General features: G+C 34.7%; 1 pseudogene across 1 annotated transcript in view; it reads right to left on the bottom strand.

Moving 5' to 3' along the window:
• Positions 1–1,388: 1,388 nt before the first annotated feature.
• Positions 1,389–22,250, bottom strand: part of ADAM5 (ADAM metallopeptidase domain 5 (pseudogene)) — a 102,747-nt pseudogene continuing 81,885 nt past the window's right edge. Inside the window, exons 14-16 of the transcript NR_001448.2 lie at positions 17,272–17,434; positions 15,911–15,961; positions 1,389–1,553 (exon numbers count right to left, since the gene is read on the bottom strand). The product of NR_001448.2 is annotated as an ADAM metallopeptidase domain 5 (pseudogene) (transcript). The remainder of the gene's footprint in view (positions 1,554–15,910; positions 15,962–17,271; positions 17,435–22,250) is intronic.

The following is a 22,250-nucleotide window of genomic DNA, read 5'->3' as shown; positions in this document are numbered from 1 at the left end:
CTGCAACTTTACTATCTTGATTTATTTTTTCTAACAATTTTTTTGGTGAAGTCTTCAGGATTTTCTATATATATGATTATGTCATCGGCAAACAGGGATACTTTGACTTCTTCCTTTCCTATTTATATGCCTTTTATTTTCTTTCTCTTGCCTAATTGCTCTGGCTAGTACTTCCAATAGTATGTTGAATAAAAGTGGTAGAAGTGAGAAGCTTGCCTTGTTCCAGATCGTACAAGAAAAGCTTTCAGCTTTTCCTCATTCAGTATGATGTTAACTGTGGGGTTTAATTTTTAACACATGGCCTTTATTGTGTTTAGTTATATTCTTTCTATACCCAATTTTTTGATACCAATTGGGTAATCATATTCAGAAAGAGTTGGAGATAGATTTGAGCCATGATAGAAAAGTAGCTTCAACAAGCTATTGAAAACAAAAATAGAAAAAAGGTGAACTACCCCCAAGAACAGTGGTTTGCTAGCAATTATTATACAGCTATTTCTGTGATGTGAGGGAGAGGAAGTCCACATTGATAGGTTTATCAGTCTCAGCAAAGGCTAATTTCAAGCTACCATTTGATATTTCTAGAAGAGTTGGTAATACATGCAAGTCATACATTACCATAATATACTAATTCCACCATAAAGATGCAATAATTATAACCTAAAAAGCAAAGATAAAAATACAACAAAATAATGAATAAATGGTGTCTTTCAAGTATTGATTTTTAATTTATTTAGATTTAAGTAATGTTTTTAATAGTGGCTGTTTAACAACTGACTTGCAAATATTCTGAAATTTTAACTGGTGAGCTCTGGTGAGATAGTATGAAATGGCTCTAGCACACCACTGCCAAGGGAACTTGTGAACAGCGAGATGATTCAGGCTCAATGGGGCCTGACCATATAAAATTTGATAAACTCTAAGAATACAAAGTTAGCTTCATGACTTTGAAGAGAATCTGTGCAACTAAGTTGCTCTTAAGTTTTTGCTTCCTTAGCTTTATGGTAAATCTACTTTTGGCAAACAGGTATTTTAACACACTAAAGTGGCTTTACAGCTTTCATAAATGAGCAGGAGTAAGAAGACAGGGATTGGACTCAGATACCATCTGCATAAATGTCACTGTAACCAGTCACAGAATACCTAGACGCTAGGAACTCTGAAGGAAAGGGGATAGGTCAGACTTGAGGGAGATTCTGGTCAACCTAAGAAGCAGAAGGGAAAACAGATACTCTCTGCTGTGAGGCTGACTGGCAGTCCCTCTTGCCTTTATGAGATGAGGGTCTTAGGCTCCTTTCACCTGATTCAGAGCATCTTATGGATCCAAATTTGATAGGGTAGAATTTGGACTGCAAATACAGAGAATTCAATGGACGTAAGTCATGAGATTCAGGCCAGATGATTTATTTCATAGTTTAAAACCCTCAGCAGTGACAAGAGCAATGAGAGAGAAATTGTGTCTTGTTCCTCCTTGGTTTGGGCCAGTTTCTGATAATGTATTTGTTACTCTCCTCTCTCCAAGCAGTAGCATTCAAGGTTGTTAGAGACTGGTGCTGTAGGAGAAAACAAAACAAACGCCAATGTTGCTCATTTTTCTTTCTTGTAGCTAACACATTTCTAACTCAAGTAATTTTAAAACTATGGGTGATTAAAAGCAAAAAATTAAGAAAATAAAAATTCCAGAAAAATATTACTTGTTACCACGACTGAAGATACTCTTAGTTTTAAAATAGAAGTGACTGGTTAAAGTACACTGGTTTTTTATCCATGTTTGGTAACTATTTACATCAATAAATAAAGTGACTTGAAAACTCCATTCTAAATATATGCAACAATTTTATTTTAAAATTGAAAGGTGGTAATTCTAAGTATCTTTTTATTAGATAACACCAACATGTACATATACACACACATGCATGCATGCACATTGGTGTGTATATCTATATAATGAAATTTTTAAAGAATGATCACCCCTGGTGCTGGGACTAATGATGATTACCATTTCATTCTTTTACTCACATATATATTTTAATCAATGTTTATTATGTGTTACTACTATAATAATAAGAATGATTCACACACTCACATGCACACATTATTTATTGAATAAGAGAAGAAAGTGATGGTAAAGTTAAGATTCATGCATTCCAAGTTCTCTGGCTAGAAAAGGATCTTAACACCATTAAAAGTTAAAATCATTCTTTAGAACTTTAAAAAATAAAACCAGTTAAATATAAATGAATTCAAAATGTTTGCTGTAAACTTTATAAAACTGAAAAAGACAAAATATTTTAGAACCAAAATAAATAATATTTAAAAGCAGAAATTTATTAACAGTAGGCTAGGTCTAAAATCTCAATTTACATAACAGAAAGATTAGTGAAGGGAGAGATTTTTTAAAGGTAAAATATGCTAAGCTTCCTTCATACTAAAGGGAGTCTCAAAATGCCTCTAATTCCAGATGTTCATATTTCGTATTTTCTACTTCTATTTCTATATTCTTTATAGAAATAGCTCATTACAAAGTGACATAGTGGAAAATTACAAAGAAAATTCAGTAAGGTAGTAAAATAAAAGAAGTAGAATTTAAGATATGCTAGGGCTCAGAAAGTATACCACTCACATATCCAAACTAGCTAATAAATTAATAAATTATGAAAGTTACAACTTGATACAAATGGACTGATAATTTAGTAATAGATATTTTAAAACAACAAAAGTCTTCATATTACACTATATTTATTCTTGATATCTTCTAGGGATTTATCTCAGGCGATAACTTGACAATTGCTCACAGATATATATACATACCAGAATGCTTATTACGGTGTATTTGTAATAACTAAAAACTGGAAGTGGCATAAATATTCACAATAATAGACTTTCAAAATGTTAAATACAGTAAGACATTCTTCTTCAAAGGGTTAACTTGTTTAAGTTTCCTAGTCCTTTGTTTCCTGCTTTCAAGACAAGACTCCCTCACTCTCTGTGTTCCCTTGCCCTGGGAAACAACCTTCCTCGAAGTCTTTATCTGTAGAGCCCACCTTCCACATCTGCTACTCACTCTGTAAATCACCCCTCCCATCACAACACCCCCTCCACCCTCCCCAACTCTCCCCGCCGCCAAAACTGTTTTCTCGCCAGTGTAACCGCATCCCTGCGGTTCCTTTTTCCCTTCTTAAGGGTATCTTATAAATGGCAAAAGTATTTATTTTAAAAAATTTGTACTATATATGGTAAGAACACAGCATGAGATCGACCATCTTACCACATTTTTAAGTGTACAATATGGTTTTGTTAATTTTAGGGACAATGTTTTTCACCAGATCTCTAGAACATTTTCATCATGCATATTTGAGACTTTATGCCCACTGACGCAACTACCCATTTGCTCCACCCCCTGGTTCCTGGAAACCACCATTCTGCTCTAATTTTGTGAGTTTGACTTTTTAGATACCTCACATAAGTGGAATTATTCAGTGTTTGTCCTCAAGGTTCATCCATGTTTTACACATTACAGGATCTTCTTTTTAAGGCTGAATAATATTCCATTAGATACATACACATACACACACACACACACACACACAGAGAGAGAGAGAGAGAGAGAGAGAAAGAGAGAGAGAGTGAGAGAGAGAGAGAGAAAGAGAGAGCGAGAGAGAGAGAGAGAGAAAGGAGGAGAGAGATGCCACATTTATTTTTATCCACTTATTTATCGATGGACATTTAGGTTGTAGCCACACTTGGCAGTTGTGAATAGTGCTTCAGTGAACATTAGAATGCTAATATCTCTTCGGTTTCCTGATTTCAATTCTTTTCCATAAATTTCAAGAAGTAGAATTGCTGGGTTATATTGTAATTGTATTTTTAATTTTTGATAACCCTCCATGTCATTTTCCATAATGGTTTCAACATTTTGCATTCCCACCAACAGTATACACAAAGATTCTAATTTCTCCACATCCTCCTCAACATTTCTCTGTTGTTGTTGTTGTTTTTAAGATCTATCCTAACAGGTGTGAGGTGAATCTCATTGCGGTTTTGATTAGCATACATTTGATAGTTAATGAAATTGAGCATCTTTTCATATGCCTATTGGCCACTTGTATGTCCTCTTTGGAGAAATGTCTATTGAAGTCTTTAGCCCATTTTTTAAATTATTAGGTATTTTGCTACAGAGTTGTAAGAGTCTTATATATTTTCTTTGGCAAAATGTCTATTCAAGTCTTCAGCTAACTTTTAATCAGGTTATTAGTTTTTTGCTATTGAGTTGAAAGAGTTCTTAATATATTTTGGGAATTAGCCCCTTAACTGATAAATGGTTTGCAAATATTTTCTCCCATTCCATTGGATTTTCAGCATTTCCTTTGCTATGAAGAAGCTTTTGAGTTTAATGTTGCCCCATATGTCTTTTTTTTATTTGTTGTCTGTGCTTTTCATGTCATATCCATGAAATCATTGCCAAGACCAATGTCATGAAGATTTTTCTCTATGTTTTCTTCTAAGAGTTTTATAATTCATATCTTACATTTAAGTCTTCAATCCATTTTGAGTTGGCCTTTGTGTATAATGGCCCAATTTCATTCTTTAGCATGAGGATATAAAGTATTCCCAACACTATTTGTTAAAGAGACTATCTTTTGTGGTTCCATACGAATTTTTGGATTATTGTTCTATTTCTGTGAAGAACGTCATTGGTATTTTGATAGCGATTGCATTGAATCTGTAGATTGCTTTGGGTTATACGGACATTTAAACAGTATTAATTCTTCCAATCCATGAGCTTGGGATATATTTCCACTTTTTTGTGTCCTCTTTAATTTCTTTTATAAGTGTTTTATTTTTATTTTTATTTTCATTTTTATTTATTTTTAAGATGGAGTCTCACTCTGTCACCCAAGCTGGAGGTTGGTGGCATGATCTCGGCCCACTGCAACCTCTGCCTCCCATGCTCAAGTTATTCTCCTGCCTTGGCCTCCCAAGTAGCTGGGATTACAGGCTTGCATCACCATGCCTGGCTAAATTTTTTTTTTTTTGGTATTTTAGTAGAGATGAGGATTTTTGCATTTTCATCAGGATGTTGGCCTGTAGTTTTTTGTTGTTATTGCTGTGTCTTTGTAAGGTTTTTGAAGGAAATGTTGGCCTTGTAGAATGATATTGGGAATATTCCCTCCTTCTCAAGGTTTTGGAATAGTTTGAGTAAAATTGGTACTAGTTCTTCGTTAAATATTTGGTAGGATACAATATTAAAGCTATCTAGTCCTGAACTTTTCTTGGATGGAAAACTTTTTATTGCAGCTACTATGTCATTATTCATTATTGATCTGTTCAGATTTTCTGTTATTCATGGTTCAATCTTGATAGGCTGAATGTGTCTAGAAATTTGTCCATTTCTTCTAGGTTTTCCAAATTATTGACACACTTTTGCTCATAATATCTCTACTTGAATGCTGCCTTTAAATTACTGAAGTGTCAATTGTAATGATTTTTCTCTGATTTGGGTTCATATAAATCGTATCTTACATTTAAGTATTCAATCCATTTTTTTCTTTTTCTTAGTCAATGTAGCAAAAGATGTGTTTATCTTTTCAAAAACAAACTTCTTGTTTCATGGACCTTTCTAATTCTCAATTTCATTTATTTCTGCTCTAGTTTTTATTATTTATTTTCTTCTACTAATGTGTGGTTTGGTTTGTCCTTGCTTTTTTTCTTGCAGTGCACCATGAGGTTGCATAACTGAAGTCTTTCTACTTTTTTGATGTCAGTATGTATAGGTATAAACTTTCCTTTTAGTACTGGTTTTGCTGCATTCCACAGACTTTGGTATGTTCTGTTTCCATTTTTGTTTCCTTCAATTTTTAAAAATATTTCTTTCTTAATTTCTCTATTGACACACTGGTCTTTCAGGAGCACATTGTTAAAGTTTCATGTATTTGTATCGTTTCCAAAGTTCCTCTTTTCATTGATTTCTAGTTTCATTCCATTGTTTTTCAAAATGATACTTGATATTATTCCATCTTTGAATGTGTTATGACTTGTTTTGTGGCTTTACATATGATCTGTCCTGGAGGATGTTCTATGTGCTGATGAAATTAACATATGTTCTGCACCAGTTACATAAAATATTCTGTAAATGTCAGTTAGGGCCATTTGATCTAGTGTTGTTTAATTCCAATAGTTCATTGATGATTTTCTGTCTGGTGATCTGACCATTGCTGAAAGTGTGGTGTTAAAAGGCCCCTACTACTATTGCATTGCAGTCTATTGATGTCTCTAGGTATTTATTCTAGTCTTCAGAGTCTGGCTTTGTTTTTACTTGCCCTTCTTCAAATGACTTTCCAAGAATTTAAAGAAGATTGAGTATTAAGTTACTCAAGTCTGTTGCCTCTACAGGCGTTTCAGTGCTAGAGGGATCTCTAAGCCCAGATATGCTGTATCTCTTGCAGACTCCTAAATACACAACTCTGATGGACTTGGAGGAAAATAGGGAGAAATTCCTCTGTTCACAGGCAAAGTCCCTTGCTCTCTTCTCTCTCTTTTCCCCAGGCAGAAGGAATCTGTCTGTGTAGTGGGCTGCCTGGAATTGGGAAAGGGAAGACACGAGCACTCCTGTGGCCATCACAGCTGGTACCCTGCTGTGTCACACCTGAAGCCTACAGCCTCCCAGATCAGCATAGTACTGGGGCTCACCTGGGGCTCATCTGAGGACCGAAGCTACCATTGCCTGACTGCCATTGATGTTTATTCAAGGCTACTTTAGTTAACTGGTGGTTCATCACACAGGTTGGACAACGGTCCATCCCACAAGGGCAGCCAGATCTCTTCTAACCAAAGTTTAGAAGACCTAGAAACACCATTTAGGAGCAATGACCTGAAATTAGGACTTTGGGATTCTGCCGTATGCTTTATTTTCCTGTGCCTGGGCTGGTACCTGGTTGCAAAATAAAGTCTATTGTACTCTTTCCCCTCCTTCTCCCAAGCAGAAAAAGTCTCTCTCCATACTACATGGTATGGAATTGGGAAAGGGGTGATGTAGGCACTCTCATGGCTGCCACAGCTAGTGTTGCGCTGGGCTGTACATCAAGCCTACAGCATCTGAGACCAGGACAGCACCAGGGCTTACCCAAGGACTGTAGTCACTATGGCCTAGCTGCCACTCAAGGTTATTTGGGGCCCCAGGCCATGTTCATCAGCCTGCAGTGAAGTAGGCTGAGACTTGGGTTCCTCGTGCTGAAGCAGTGGAGTCCCCTTGGCCCACGACTGATCTAAATGCTCGCTGTCAGCACTGGTGGAATTCTGCCTAGTGCTGTGTTCCGCTGTGACAGTGCAGCACTGAGTTTCAGTGCAAAGTTCCACACCAACTTTGCTTTCCCTCCCCCAAGAGCACAGCCTCTCTTCTGTGATATACTGCCTGGCACTGGGGGAGGGGTGATGCAGGAAATGGAACTCTGTCCTTTTGACCTCCTTCAGTGCATCCTTCCACGTTATTATGCTAACACCATGTAATGTGATTGCTTATCTGGTTTTGGGCTCCTATGAAGATGCTTTCTTAAATTGATAATTGTTTGACTTGATGTTCTTGGTAGTGCGTACAATTGCTGAAGGATTCTATTCAGCCATCATGCCTTACTAATGCCTTTTGTTAATTATCTTTTTCTGTTTAATCTTATGGTTATTTTGTCCCTCTTTTATTCTCTTGCTGTATTCCTTCATGTTTCATTTACTTTTTTATTGTATAATTCCTTTCTCTTTCACTTTTGTGTAACTTCTGTAAGTATTTTTATTACTATGCAGCTTATATTTAAAAATCTTGTAACAGTTTGTTTTGAACTGATACTATTAATCACATTTAAACACTACAGTTTTATTGTCCTCCCAATAATACACTTTTATTGTCCTCCCAATAATACACTTTTATTGTCCTCCCAATAATACTTTGTTACTGATGTCACACTTTATATTACAACTTACATTATGTGCCCATTAACATATTCTTACTTATAATTATTTTAATGCTTTTGTCTTTTGATATTATAGTAGAATTAAAAGTGATTTACCCACCACCATTACATATTCTGAGGAATATCAGCTAGATGTTAAGCTAGAGGTGCCTAATGCTCATCTCCTCCCACAAAAAGACCAAAACAACAAATAAGCTAGTTTTGACCAAAAAGACTAAGGAGAGCTCAGGTGTACATCAAGGGAGTGGCAGAAATTTTGTGAAGCATAGACACTCAGGATGGCTGCATAGAGAAGAGAAGAAAACACTTTCCCTGTGCTACCCCATCCCCACAGTCAGAATCAGATCAAAACCTGAAGGGAAGTTTTTCTGCAGGGAAAAAGGTAAGCAGTAGACCCCAACAGTTCCCATTATCACCACAGACACCACACTCTTTGCTACTGGAGAATCCTGTAGTCCTTACAGCCACTGACACCAACCTAGGGAGCTTCCTGGAGTTCACATAGCACAGGATGCAGCAAAAGTAGTTCTAAAAGAGAAGTTTGTAGCAATAAATGCCTACATTAGAAAAGATGAAAGATCCCAAGTAAATAGCCAAACATTGTGCCTCAAGGAGCTGTAAAAAGAACAAATGAAATCCAAAGTTATTGAATGAAAGGAAATAATAAAGATTAGAACTGAAATAAATCAAATAGATGACCGAGAAACAAGAAAAAAAAATCAATAAAACCAAGAGTTGATTATTTAAAAAATAAAATTGGCAAACTCCTAGATAGAGTAATTTTTAAAAAGAGAGAGAGATAATACTTAAATAAATAAATTAGAAATAAAAGTGGAGACATCACTACCAGATGCCTCAGAAATAAAAAAGTTTTAAAAAGGGTGATTATGAGGAATTATACGTCAACAAAATTGATAACTTTGAGGAAATAGATAGATTCCTAGAAAAATATCATCTGAAGATTGAATCAGGAGGAAATAGATAGCTTGAAGAATTAAAAACATTTCAGCAAATAAAAATCCCAGGACCAGATGGTTTCATAGCTGAATTCTACCAAAAATTCAGGGAAGAATTATTATCAGTATTTCTTAAATTTTTCCAAAAATTAGAGCTGAAAGGAACACTTTCTAAAACATTTTACAAGACCAGCATCACCTTGATGCCTAAGTCAGAGACACTGCCCAAAAAAATAAATAAATGAAACTACAGGCCAGTATCTCTGATGAACATTGATGCAATAATCATCAATAATACAGTAGCAAACTGAACTCAACAACACATCAAAAGTTTACACATCATAACCAGGTTGGATTTATTCCTGGCATGCAAGTCTGCTTTAACACATGCAAATCAATATGCCATATCACATTAACAGAATAAGAAAATAAAAACCTCATGATCATGTAAATTTACACACAAAGAAGTGTAGGAGGATCAGTCAGGGTGGTGGGAAAAATAGGAAAGACGCAAACCTTCTTGGAAGGCTGGGTAGTTTTGCAAAAGCTTCAGAAGAGAATTATGGCTGAAGGCAGCCAAATTCTCTTATCCAGAGGCTGAGGGCAAAGGGTAGATAACAAGGGAATGTAAAGGAACTTATCTAGATAAATTTGTTTACTGTAGGACTGCTCTATACTCAGGGGAGTGGACAATGTTAATTACCCACAAATTGTGTTTGCTCCAAGCCTTTGTCATTAAATCTGCACTGAATAAATACGAGCATCTCCAGCTTATTGGAGCTGCACTCTTGTCAGCGGTGCTAAGCTGTGCAGTTCCCTAGCTGCATTCTCAGGCAAAATACCTGTGTCTGTGTATTTCTTTCATTGGTTGCCTGGCCAGAGTCTGTGGGACAGACTCATCAAAAAAGCTTTTGACAAACTTCAGCATCCTTTTCTAATATTTTCAACAGTTTAGATATATAAGACAGTTTTCTCAACATAATAAAGGACATTTGTTAAAAACCCATAGCTAACATCATAAAGCTTTTGCACTAAGATCTGGTATAAAGCAAAAATGCCCATTCTCATCATTTCTATTCAACATAGTACTGGAAGTACTAGTACATACAATCAGACAAGGAAAATAAATAAAAGGCCTCTAAATCAGAAAGGAGGAAGTAAATTATCTCTATTTGCAATTGACATAATCCTATATGTAGAAAACCCCAAAGCTTAGAAAAAACCAATAAATGAATTCAGTATAGTTGTAGGATACAAAATCAATATAAAAAATCACAAGTATTTTTATATACGAAGAACCACCTAGCTGAAAAAGAAATTAATAAAACGGTTCCATTTCTGATAACATCAAAAACATAATATACTTAGAATTCAAATTAATCACGAAGGTGGAACATTTGTACACTGAACACAATAAAACATTGATTAAAGGAGATGAAGAAGACACAAATAAATGTAAAGACATACCATGTTCATGGATCAAAATAATATTGAAATGTTCATGATATTCAAATCAATATGCAGATTTAACAAAATCTCTCTAGAAATGCCAGTGGCATTCCTCACAGAAATAGAAAAACAAACCTAAAATTAATATGGAACCACAAAAAATTCCAAATAGTTAAACCAATACTGAGAAAGAAAAACAAAGTTGGAGACTTTGCCTTCCAGATCTGAAGTTATATTACAAAGCTATAGTAATCAAGACATTAATGGCACTGACATCAAAACAGAAACATTGACCAATGGAACAAAATAGGGAGCCCAGAAATAAATCCAAACATATATGATCAACTAATTTTCAACAAGGGCACCTAGAGGACAGAATGGGGAAACAGTAGTCTCTTCAATAAGTGGTTCTGGAAAAACTAGATTTTCATATACAAAAGAATAAAATCAGATTCTTTCTTACACCATACACAACAATGAAATCAAAAAGGAAGAAAATGCCTAAATTCTTGACCTGAAATAATAAAACTCTTAACAGAGAACATAGAAGGAAAGCTCTTTGATACTGGCCTTAGCAATTAATTTTTAGACATCACACCAAAGCTCAGGCCGCAAAACAAAAATGAATAAATGGAACTATGTTAATCTAGCAAGCTTCTGTACAGCTAAAGAAGCAATATAATGAAAGGAGAACCTATAGACTAGGAAAAATATTTGCAAACCACATCTCTGGCAAAAGATTAATATCCAAAATGTATAAAATACTTTTACAATTCAATTGCAGAAAAACAAATAAATTGATCAAAAAATGGGCAAATAAGCTAGACAGACAGTTCTCCAAGGAAAACATAAAAACGAAGAACAGGTATATGGAAAGGTGCTCCACATCACTAATTCATATGTCATCAAGGAAATGCAATTTAAAACCTACTATATATTGAAAAGATCACTTTTTTATCCACTAAATAATAGTGGCACCAGAAGTATAAATAAGATGTGAGTATATTATACAACTGTTTCTGAACACTTCCTTCTTTTTTATTGGTTTATTTGTCTGTCCTATGATGCTCCTATATTGTTTTGATTACTTAACAAAAGTTGTCAATATCAGGTAGTATAAGTTTTCTTTTTCCTGTGTTTTCAAGATTTTGTTGACTATATGACTCCATTTATCTTTATATAAATTTTACAATCTAATTTTAATTTTCCACCAAAAAATGTCAAGATATTTATTTTGGGATTGCATTAAATCTACATATCAATTAGGGAAAAATTATATCTTAAAAATATTGAACAGTATGTTCTTCAACTGGTTTAGATATTAAAATTCTCAGCAGTATTTTATATTACAAGTGTAACTGTATTGCACTTTTTCACTGGATATATATCCCTATGTATCATATATACATATTTCCCTATACTATATATAGTTGCATTTTTTAAATTTCATTTTATAACTGTTGCTTACACAAAAATAAAATTGATTTTTATATGTAGCCTTGTATCCAAAAACCTTATATTTTCTTTATTAATTTTGTTTTGTTATTTCTTCAAATTTTTGTGCATTGAAATTTGAAGCCATATCATCTGCAAACAATAACAGTATTCTTTCTTCATTTCTGATCTTACTACATTTGCTTACTTCTTTCTTACCTTATTTTACCAGCTAGGATTTCCCATATGATGTTGAAAATGTCAGTGTTGAAAACAATAACGGACATCCTCCTGACCTCAGGAAGGAAACATTCACGATTTCACTATTAACTAAAATAGTTGTATGCTTTTTTGAAGATGTTCCTTATCAGTTTTTAAAAGTTTTTTTCACTAGTTAACTAGGAATTTTTATCATAAAAGTGTTTTTTTTTCTTTAAAGGGTATTTTTCTTTATATATAGAAATTATCATATAATTTTTTCTCCTTTTCCTTAATATGGTAAAACATATTTTAAACTAGTTTTTCATTCTTAGATACCTAGGCTATCTCCATGGCCATAATATATGATCCTCTATAATACTAAGTGGATTTATTTAGAAATCTTTTATTTAGCATTTCTACATCTCTAATTAGAAATAGATCTATAATTTTCTTTTCTGATAGTTCCCTTAAATTTGGGGGCCATAAAGCTAGGCTGACCTCATAAAACATGATGAGAAATGCTCCCTTTGTTGTATTCTCGGCATAAGTATATGTAAGAGTGGTATTACAGTAGTCCCCTCTTATCTGCAGTTTTGTTTTTTATGCTTTAAATTATCTTCAGTCAACCACACTTCAAAAAAAACTCCAGTATTTTGAGACAGAGAGATCATATTCACATAACTTTTATTACATTACACTATTATAATTGTTCAATTATATTATTATTTATTCTTAATCTCTTGATGTGTCTAATTTACAAATTAAACTTAATCATAGGTACATATATATAGGAAAAAACAAGTAAATGTAGAATTGTTACTATTTGTGATTTTAGACATCCATTACGGGTCTTGGAATGTCTCCCACACACACAGATAAGGGAGGACTGCTGTATTTCTGTATTTCCTCCTTAAACATCTGGATGTAATAGTTTGAATTATTGTCCTCAATTTTTCACTTATATCTTAAGATACGATTATTTATACATGTTCTTTGCCATGTGACTTTGTAGTATCTCCCATTATAGTGGATGGAGTATATTACACACACCACCTTCATTGACACTGAGTTTGACATTGTTACTTGTTTATATAATAAAACATAAGCTGATGGAATTGAGGAAATGTTCACTGAATTTGGCTTGGCTTTGTGTTCTGATGCATGCCATGAAAAGATCATGCTCAAGTATCCACTTTGTGAGAAAGTTCTAAATTACAGCTTCCAGGTCTTGAATAAATATAGACTTCTTTATACTTTCTTTTTCTTCTCTCTATTCCATTTTGGGAAGATGGAAAGAAGTGTTTTTTTAAAAATGTGTTGTATTTTAACTAAATATTTAAACTTATCAACTTTGACTTCTTCTAATGTCCAGAAAATTAGACATGATATCATTTTATTACATGATAGTAATTTGTATCATTTCTCGTTTTATTTTGAACTATTAGCTAATGTTTATCAATTATATTAATCTTTTCAAAGAATCAGCTTTTGTCTTTGCTTATGTTTTTATCTGTTTATTTTCCTCTACATTATTTCTGCTCTTTAGTACTTCCTTCCATCCACAATTTTTGAGTGTAAGTAGCTCTTTTTTCTATCTTCTTGGTAGGAATTATAATAAAAACACTTTTGATTATTTTCTCTTCTATAATATGCATCACAAAGTGATCAAAGTAAGGATCAAAGATAATCTTGCCTAGAAAGCAGAGATATGCTTAATTTTTGTAGAACCTAAAGCAGCCAACATTAACAATAGAATTAGGACGGTGATGGCCCATATTTAACAGTGCTTCTCTTAAAAGCAGGAATTCCCTCACTGCAGATATGTATCTCAATATTTACTAAATGAATCATCACAGTCAGTGTTTAACTTTGTACTCCAAGGATGAAGAGAGAACATGAGAAATAATATTGGATGCTACTTGAAATACTCTCCCATTTTATAGTCTATCCAACATTTGGTAGGGAAAATCTGTATATACTGATAGTAAAAGAAGGATATCTAATTTTATAAAATGTTGTGTTTGATTCTTCATAATCTGATCCCTAAATTTACTATCTCAGATGAATTGAGACAGGGAAATGAATGATAATTTCAATGCTCAAACTTACTCTCAGTAATTTTTTTTCTGAAATAATAGCAGAACTATAAGCACCTATGACATCATTTAGAGCAGGGGTCCCCAACCCCACAGCCATGGCTTCTTAGAAAGCAGACCACTAGGCAACCTACAGAATGGGAGAAAATTTTTGCTATCTCCTCATCTGACAAACGGCTAATATCCAGAATCTACAAAGAACACAAACAAATTTACAAGAAAAAAAACAAACAACCCCATCAAAAAGTGGGTGAAGGATATGAACAGACACTTCTCAAAAGAAGACATTTATGCAGCCAACAGACACATGAAAAAATGTTCATCATCACTGGTCATCAGAGAAATGCAAATGAAAACCACAATGAGATACCATCTCACACCAGTTAGAATGGCGATCATTAAAAAGTCAGGAAATAACAGGTGCTGGAGAGGATGTGAAGAAATAGGAACACTTTTACACCGTTCGTGGGACTGTAAACTAGTTCAACCACTGTGGAAGTCAGTGTGGTGATTCCTCAGGGATCTAGAACTAGAAATACTATTTGACCCAGCCATCCCATTACTGGGTATATACCCAGAGGATTATAAATCATGCTGCTACAAAGACACATGCACACGTATGTTTATTGTGGCACTATTCACAATAGCAAAGACTTGGAACCAAGCCAAATGTCCAACAATGATAGACTGGATTAAGAAAATGTGGCACATACACACCACAGAATACTATGCGGCCATAAAAAATGATGAGTTCATGTCTTTGTAGGGACATGGGTGAAGCTGGAAACCATCATTCTCAGCAAACTATTGCAAGGACAAAAAACCAAACACTGTATGTTCTCACTCATAGGTGGGAATTGAACAATGAGAACACTTGGACACAGGAGGGGGAACATCACATACCGGGGCCTGTCGTGGGGTGGGGGGAGGGGGAGGGATAGCATTAGGAGATATACCTAATGTAAATGACGAGTTAATGGGTGCAGCACACCAACATGGCACATGCATACATATGTAACAAACCTGCACATTGTGCACATGTACCCTAGAACTTAAAGTATAATTTATATATATACACATATATATACATATATACATATATATACACATATATATATACACATACATATATATACACACACACACACACACACACACACACACACATATAAATAAAAGGAACCAGGCCACAAAGCACAAGGTGAGCACAGGCCAGCAAGCATTACTGCCTCAGCTCCACCTCCTGTCAGCTCAGCAGTGGCATTAGATTCTCATAGCAGCATGAACTCTATTGTGAACTGCACGTATGAGAGGTCTAGGTTGCACACTCCTTATGGGAATCTAACTAATGATTGATGATGTGAGCTGAAACTATCCCCCTCTACCCCACCCTGTGGAAAAATTTTATTCCACTAAACCGGTCCATGATGCCAAAAAGGATGGTACCGCTGATTAGAGCATCAGTTATCTTTTTATATGCCAGTAAGATATCACTAAAACACATGCTAAAAAAAAAAATGCTTAAAAAAAAAAAACCCCGATGCTAAAAAAAAAAAAACAACTCACAATTTACATGCTCATAGATGGTAGTTGCCAGTGTGAGTGCACAAAAATCTCTCCTTTTATAGGTCAAGGAGAGGCTGAGATTTCACAAAACCAAGGTTTTATTATTTATTATTATAAAATGACCTATGGAGAGAATTAAACAAATACATAAAGAATGCTTGGTTTCAAACTAACCATTTTTAAGTGCTCCTAAGCAATGATCAAAACTTACAATGCAAAATGATTCAACACATAGTCCCATACTCACCTTTCACTGAGGGATGACTTGCTGTTACTGCTGCTTTCTTCTGACACAGAGCTATAAAATTGATAAACTTTGTTTTAAAGTGATGAAAATTGTAATTCTTGAATAATTAAACAACTGAATGAAAACTGTTCTTCAAAGAAACAGCGATTCAAATAAATGAAAGGTCTCCTTTTAACAACTTAAACAGGTACTGTTTCAATATTAGAACAAATGCCATCAGTTACCTCAGTCTGGTAACTGAGTCTTCTCATTCTCATTCTACATTTAATCAAGAATTTATGTTTGTAAACCCACATTTATATAGGCAGCTCCCCTTATTTTATGATATCCCTAATTCCTCCGTTCCAATAAGGCAAACCATAAAGTAGCACTCAAAAATTTTAAATACTTTTTCTTTACAGATCAATATATTTCTTTCTCTCTCTCAGAAAATATAAACACGTTTTATCTTTGCATCAGTTCTCGGAGGGTAAACCTAGATGTAAATATATCTGTGATGAAATATTGTAAATTATGAATAAGGGGCTCAATATGATGTTTAAAAATTTGTGCAACTGATTACAGATAACATGATGATTTCACTCATTAAATGGATGTACTCAAAAGTTTAGATAAATTGAAAAGCTATTATTACCTCCCATTCTGTAGAGTTATAGAGAATAATCTTAAGGAAATAAAGATTAAATCACTTACTCACGGTATCACAGTATTACATGCAAGATTTATAACTTAAAACGAGGTTTCCTGAAGCTAAGCGTAATTCTCTTCCTACATGGTGGTGCCTCCTGTCTCTTTAACCTGACATTATTAACTACACATGTAGTTTCTAATTAAGAAATGATTTTACAAATCAGCAATATCTATATTTAGAAAAATAAATATTGTCAAAATAGGTTTATAGATATTATCTCTAATTGAGAGAGGTGTTCTAATAAAGATGTTTATCACTGGCCTGAAAATCTGTATCTAATAAATTTAGTTTTTGGAAGTTCCCTTGAAATGCAGTGTCATATAATTCTAATAGAGCTCATAGGTGATATGACTGTATGGACAGGGTCGGTGAACTAAGAGGCTAAATAAACCTCCAAAATTCTCCTGGCAGCCATATCTGCTCTTACCATGATACTAGTGGTAAACTCTGTAGTTTTAGTAATTTGTAAGATGAGAAAAAATATCAAAACAAATAACAAACAGCATCAAACCATTTTTAAAATGTCTCCCTGAGCCTCTCTTTATATTGCCTTAGCTACAGTTGGAGATTATTCCTGATGAAACATAAATACATTTTTCTTGTCTTTCTTAATGTAATAAGAGTAAATATATGTATATATATTTTTTTACATATATATGTATATACATACCTCTCACTTTCATTTTCCCCTCTATAGCATAGCTCTCTCAATTTTTTCTGTTTTATTAAAATGGCAGTAGTAATAAGAAGCACAGGTAGAGAAATGTAGAAAATGAGTTGAAACCGTTGTTTTTGAAAAGTGGCCTATCTTCCCTCCTCCATGTAACTTCTCTCTGGAATGAAAAACAGCAATTTTAAGTTACGTCAGAGATTTTATTATCCCAATGAAAAGGAGAAGATATCATTACCAACATCATTTCCAAACATCAAACATTTCTTTTATATATATAAAGTGAATATAATAAAAACAAAAACACTAATGTACCAAATGGGATGTTACTAGTGTTTTATTGATGATTTTTGAGTTCTCAACCTTCCACCATATGATGAACTAATATCTTATTCGATCAGTTTCTCTGGAGAACCCTGATTAATACAGATTTTGGTACCAAGATATGAGGTGCTGCTCTAACAAATACCTAAAAATACAGCAGTGGCTGTGGGACTGGGTAATGGGTAGAGGTTGGAATCATTTTAAGGTGTAAACTAAAAAAAGCCTAGATTGCAATAAAGGACTGTTGATAGAAATATAGATATTAAAGGTGATTCTGGTGAGGGCACTGAGAGAAAAGGGAACGCCTACCTCTTCTTAGAGAATATGTACATAATCATGAACAGAATGTTGGGAGAAATATGAATATTAAAGGTGCTTCTAGTGAGGTCTTAGACAGAAATAAAGCAACATGTTATTGGACAATGAAGGAAAGGTCATTCCTGTTAAAAAGTGGCAAAGACTTGGCTAACTTGTGTTCTAAAGTTTTGTGAAAGATAGAGTTTGCAAGCTGACGTTAGATAACAGCTGAGGTGACCCCTAGGCAAAATGTTCAAGTTATGGCCTGAGTCCTCCTGACTGCTTATGGTAAAATGAAAGAGAGGAGAGATGGATTAAAGAAGTAATTGAAATAATTGTTAGCCAGAAATTCTCAGCCTATCCATATTTCCCAAAATCAGAAAACGTGTTCTGGAGAGAATACCAAGGGTGTGGCTAGAAAATCATTTGATAAAGAGATTACGGATGTGAATAATGGATTTAATCAGCCATCTCAGCAGAAATCAGAAACATAAGACAATACCAGCATAGATGGAATTATACTGGCAGAGACATTGCCAGTTGGAAATGAAGGAAAAAGAATGGGACAAAAGGGCTATTTTGCTATGAGCATGCTTTATCTTTCAAGAAAAGTAAAGAATAATTGCGCCTTTGACTCAAAGATTATCGGGGTGCCACAGACCAAAGGATCAAGGCTGCATTCTCTTTGGTTATACAGGGCGGGGCCTCCTTTTTAATTTCAGCGGACCAAGTTGCCCTAGCCCAGTGCCTTATGGGTGGGACATTGTAAAGATAGTATGAACAGGGTAGGCTCCCAAGCCAAGGGAGTGGGACTGCCACCTAGGATTGTGGAAGTAATGCACCACCTCAGTGAGCCTGGAAGGAAGAACATTCAGCCAAATAGGATTTGGATAGGATTTAATTTACATCTCAGTTCATATGGGAGACTAAAGACAAAGCAATTGAGGTGTCTGGTGTGTAGTGTATGGCCAACTCTCAAGCCTAAGACACAACGGAACTTGCACTGCTAGGTTTTGGAATTTCTTGAAACCCATCACCTCTTCCTGCCTTCTAATTTCTCCCTTTCGGAATGGGAATGTCTGTCCTATGCTTATTTCACCACTATATTTTTGAAACAGGGCTGGGCGTGGTGGCTCATACCTGTAATCCCAGCACTTTGGGAGGCCGAAGTAGGCAGATCAGGAGGTCAGGAGATCAAGACCATCCTGACTAATACAGTGAAACCCCGTCTCTACTAAAATACAAAAAATTAGCCGGGTGTGGTGGCGGGCGCCTGTAGTCCCAGCTACTCGGGAGGCTGAGGCAGGAGAATGGCGTGAACCCGGGAGGCAGAGCTTGCAGTGAGCAGAGATCGCGCCACTGCACTCCAGCCTGGGCGACAGAGCGAGACTCTGTCTCAAAATAAATAAATAAATAAATAAAATATATTTTGGAAACACATAATTTGTCTGGTTTTACACTTTCACAGTTGGGGAGAAATTTTGTCTCAAGATAAATCATATCTCAAATGTTACCCATTCCTGATTTAGATGCTATTCAGATGAGACTTTCTACTTAAAATTGATGCTGGAATGGCTTAAGGCTTTTGGGACTCTTGGCATGGGATGAATTTTTTTGCATGTAAGAAGAACATGAATTTGGGGAACACAGAGTGGAATTTTATAGACTGAATTGTGTCCCCCTAAATACATATGTTTAAGCCTCAACCCCCAATGTGATGATATTTGGAGATGAGGACTTTGAGAAATAATTAGGGTTAAATGAGGTAATAAGTGTGGGGTCCTAATCTGATGGGATTGTTGTCTTCATAAAAAGAGGAGAGACCAGAATGCATGTGCTCCCTCCCTCCCTCTCTCTCTTTCTGTCTCTCTCTATCTCTCTCTCTCTCCATTCACAGAATTATTGTTGAAAAGATGTGGCAAAATTACTGTTAATTGCAGTTTACATCATTTCAAAAATGTTCATCCCCAAAAATAAACAAATAGACTTCTCAATATAGTGATAATCCATTGATAAAATTTATGCACAAATATCAGTAGATTTTCTACATGTAACAAGTAATGTTGAAATACAATGACAGAAAATATCTCCCAATAACCAATTTTTAACAAAACCATGCCCTTTTTAAAAATGATAAATTTCTGATCTATAAGACCCTATTATACCTATACAGGGATGAAAGAGACAAAAAGATACCACTTCATACCCATCAGGATGGCTATAATCAGAAAAAAAAAAAAAAAAAAAAAACAGAAAATAACAAGTATTGACAAGGATGTGGAGAAATTGAAACAGAAAATAACTTGTACACTGCTAGTGGGAATGTAAAACAAAGTCGCTGCTGGAAAATAGTATGGTGATTCCTCAAAATATTTAGAAATATAATCATCATATGACACAGCAAGTTCACTTCTGGACATATACACAAAATAACTGAAAACAGAGTCTCGAGATATTTGTAAGCCCATAGTCACAGAAACATTATTCACAATAGCCCAAATGTGGAAGAAACCCAAGTATCCATTGACAGATGAACAGCTAAACAAAATGTGGTATATACATACAATAAAATGTTATTCAACCTTTAAAAGAAATGAAATTCTGACACACACTACAATATGTATGAACCTTAAGGACATCGGGCTTAGTGAAAAAAGCCAGGCTTTTTCAAAAAAGACAAATACAGCATGATTCATTCCATTTTTGAGTTACTGAAGTTGTCAGATTCAGAGACAGAAAATAGAATAATAGTTTGCAGGGCCTGGGAAGAGGAGGAATGAGGGCTTATTGTTTAATTGATTTACAGTTTTGGCTTTGCAACATGGAAAGAGCTCTGCAGAGAGATGATGTTGCACAACAATGTACTTAATGTCATGGAATTATACACTTAAAAAGCATTCAGATGGTAAATTTTATGAGTATTGTGCAACACTTAAGTGTGTGTGTGTGTGTGTTTGCATGCGTATGTTATAAAAGGTCAAACAAACCCATAAGAATAGAGAGACAACGGTGATGAAATAGTAATTCATAGAAAAATTATAAATTTCCTATCACCATCAAGCAACTGGGAAGCCCCATAACATTAAAGAAATGTAAGTAGAATATAATTTTTTCTGGTCTATGAACTTGTCAAATATTAAAAGGGTTAATAATAACCTCTGAAAATCAGGAATGTATATAGTATTATTAATGGTCATCTCTGAGGTTTAGGATAAAATGAAAAACTATGGAAAGAAAAATCATAAAGTGAGATTAAAATATACTCTTTATAATTTTATATACTAAGTAGTCAATTAGGCAAAAATATATGTGAATTTAGACTCCAGCATATGCAAAAAGCTGATAGTCATACATACAAGCACATATATATTCAATTATGTACATATTTTATATGATTATATCTATATACATAGAGCTGTAGAACAGATTGTAAGTTCCTTGAAAATATTCATGAAATAGTAACAAAAGTCAACAATGTTTTTGGCTTACAATTAAGGCAATCATAAAATCCATAATTTGACATTTTTTCTGGGTCATATTATGTTAACACAAAGCAGTGACATTAAAAGTAAGCAGAATGGGGATGATGAAATAAACCTGGACTCATTTAGATGACCATTGCAGCCCAAACTCTTTATGTCCTAAAATGCATTCAGGATCACAAGTGTTTCTCCCACATTGAGTCCAGGCTTTATTGGGGAAAGCTCAAGGCCTCCTTGACTGGGTAGAGGGCCTCCAAAGGGACTACATGGGGACAAAACATACAGCCAACTAGCATATCAGCCTAGGTCTTTCAGGGTAGACCTGTAAGCCCCAGAATGGAAGAGATGAAAGAAGAGCCCATGGCAGCTGGCTAAAGGAAACTAGTTGGGTTAGAAGGTTTTCTCTGACTGCAGGCTCATGTGCTGCGATCTGGACTTCCATCTGGACTTAGAGCGGTAGGCCTAGGATACCAATCACATAGGTTTGCCTAGAACTTATCCTAGTTGTAGTACTGAAAGTCTTACATGCTAGTGAATCTGTCACTGGGACAGAAAAATTTCTGGTTGGCAACTAGTGTGGAAGGTTGCAGGGAAAAGAACCAAATATAAAATATTAATATAAAACGAAATATAAAAGGTGAAAAAAATAGGGACTAAAAGCAACACTGTTTTAGTGTCAAATGACTAAATCACCGATTATCCATCTTCTATAGTTGCTATTGCTGCTTTTTTTTCTTTTTCTTTCCATTACTGCTGACGTTGGCAACCACAATTTGTGTGTTCACTCTGATTAATGTAACTTAAATGTGCAATTTAAAGGTATCAAAAGCATCAGTGTTAACAGTCCATCTTTGACGTACACTACAAAATCACTGT

The sequence above is a fragment of the Homo sapiens genome, chromosome 8 (assembly GCF_000001405.40).
Source record: "Homo sapiens chromosome 8, GRCh38.p14 Primary Assembly".
Classification (NCBI taxonomy): domain Eukaryota; kingdom Metazoa; phylum Chordata; class Mammalia; order Primates; family Hominidae; genus Homo; species Homo sapiens.
The sequence above is the reverse complement of the archived record's forward strand: the minus strand, read 5'-3'. Positions and strand labels throughout refer to the sequence as shown.